Raw genomic sequence first — 231 nt, forward strand, 5'->3', positions numbered from 1 at the left:
CTTTATTTATATATCTCATTTTCCCCCTGTAGTCATAGCATTCATGTAAAAACTCTTATCTACCCAATAAAATATTTCATCAGAATGTGAATGCCTTGTTTTATCAGAGGGAATTTCTTTTAGCCAAAACACCTTGTGACCTTCTGTTATTGAACCATATATTAATCATATGAAAAGTTATAAAGAGAAAATTTGAATCAGTGGATAATGAATGTCTTTCTTTTTTTTTTA

This window comes from Homo sapiens, chromosome 3 (genome assembly GCF_000001405.40).
Source record: "Homo sapiens chromosome 3, GRCh38.p14 Primary Assembly".
NCBI classification, from domain to species: Eukaryota; Metazoa; Chordata; class Mammalia; order Primates; family Hominidae; genus Homo; species Homo sapiens.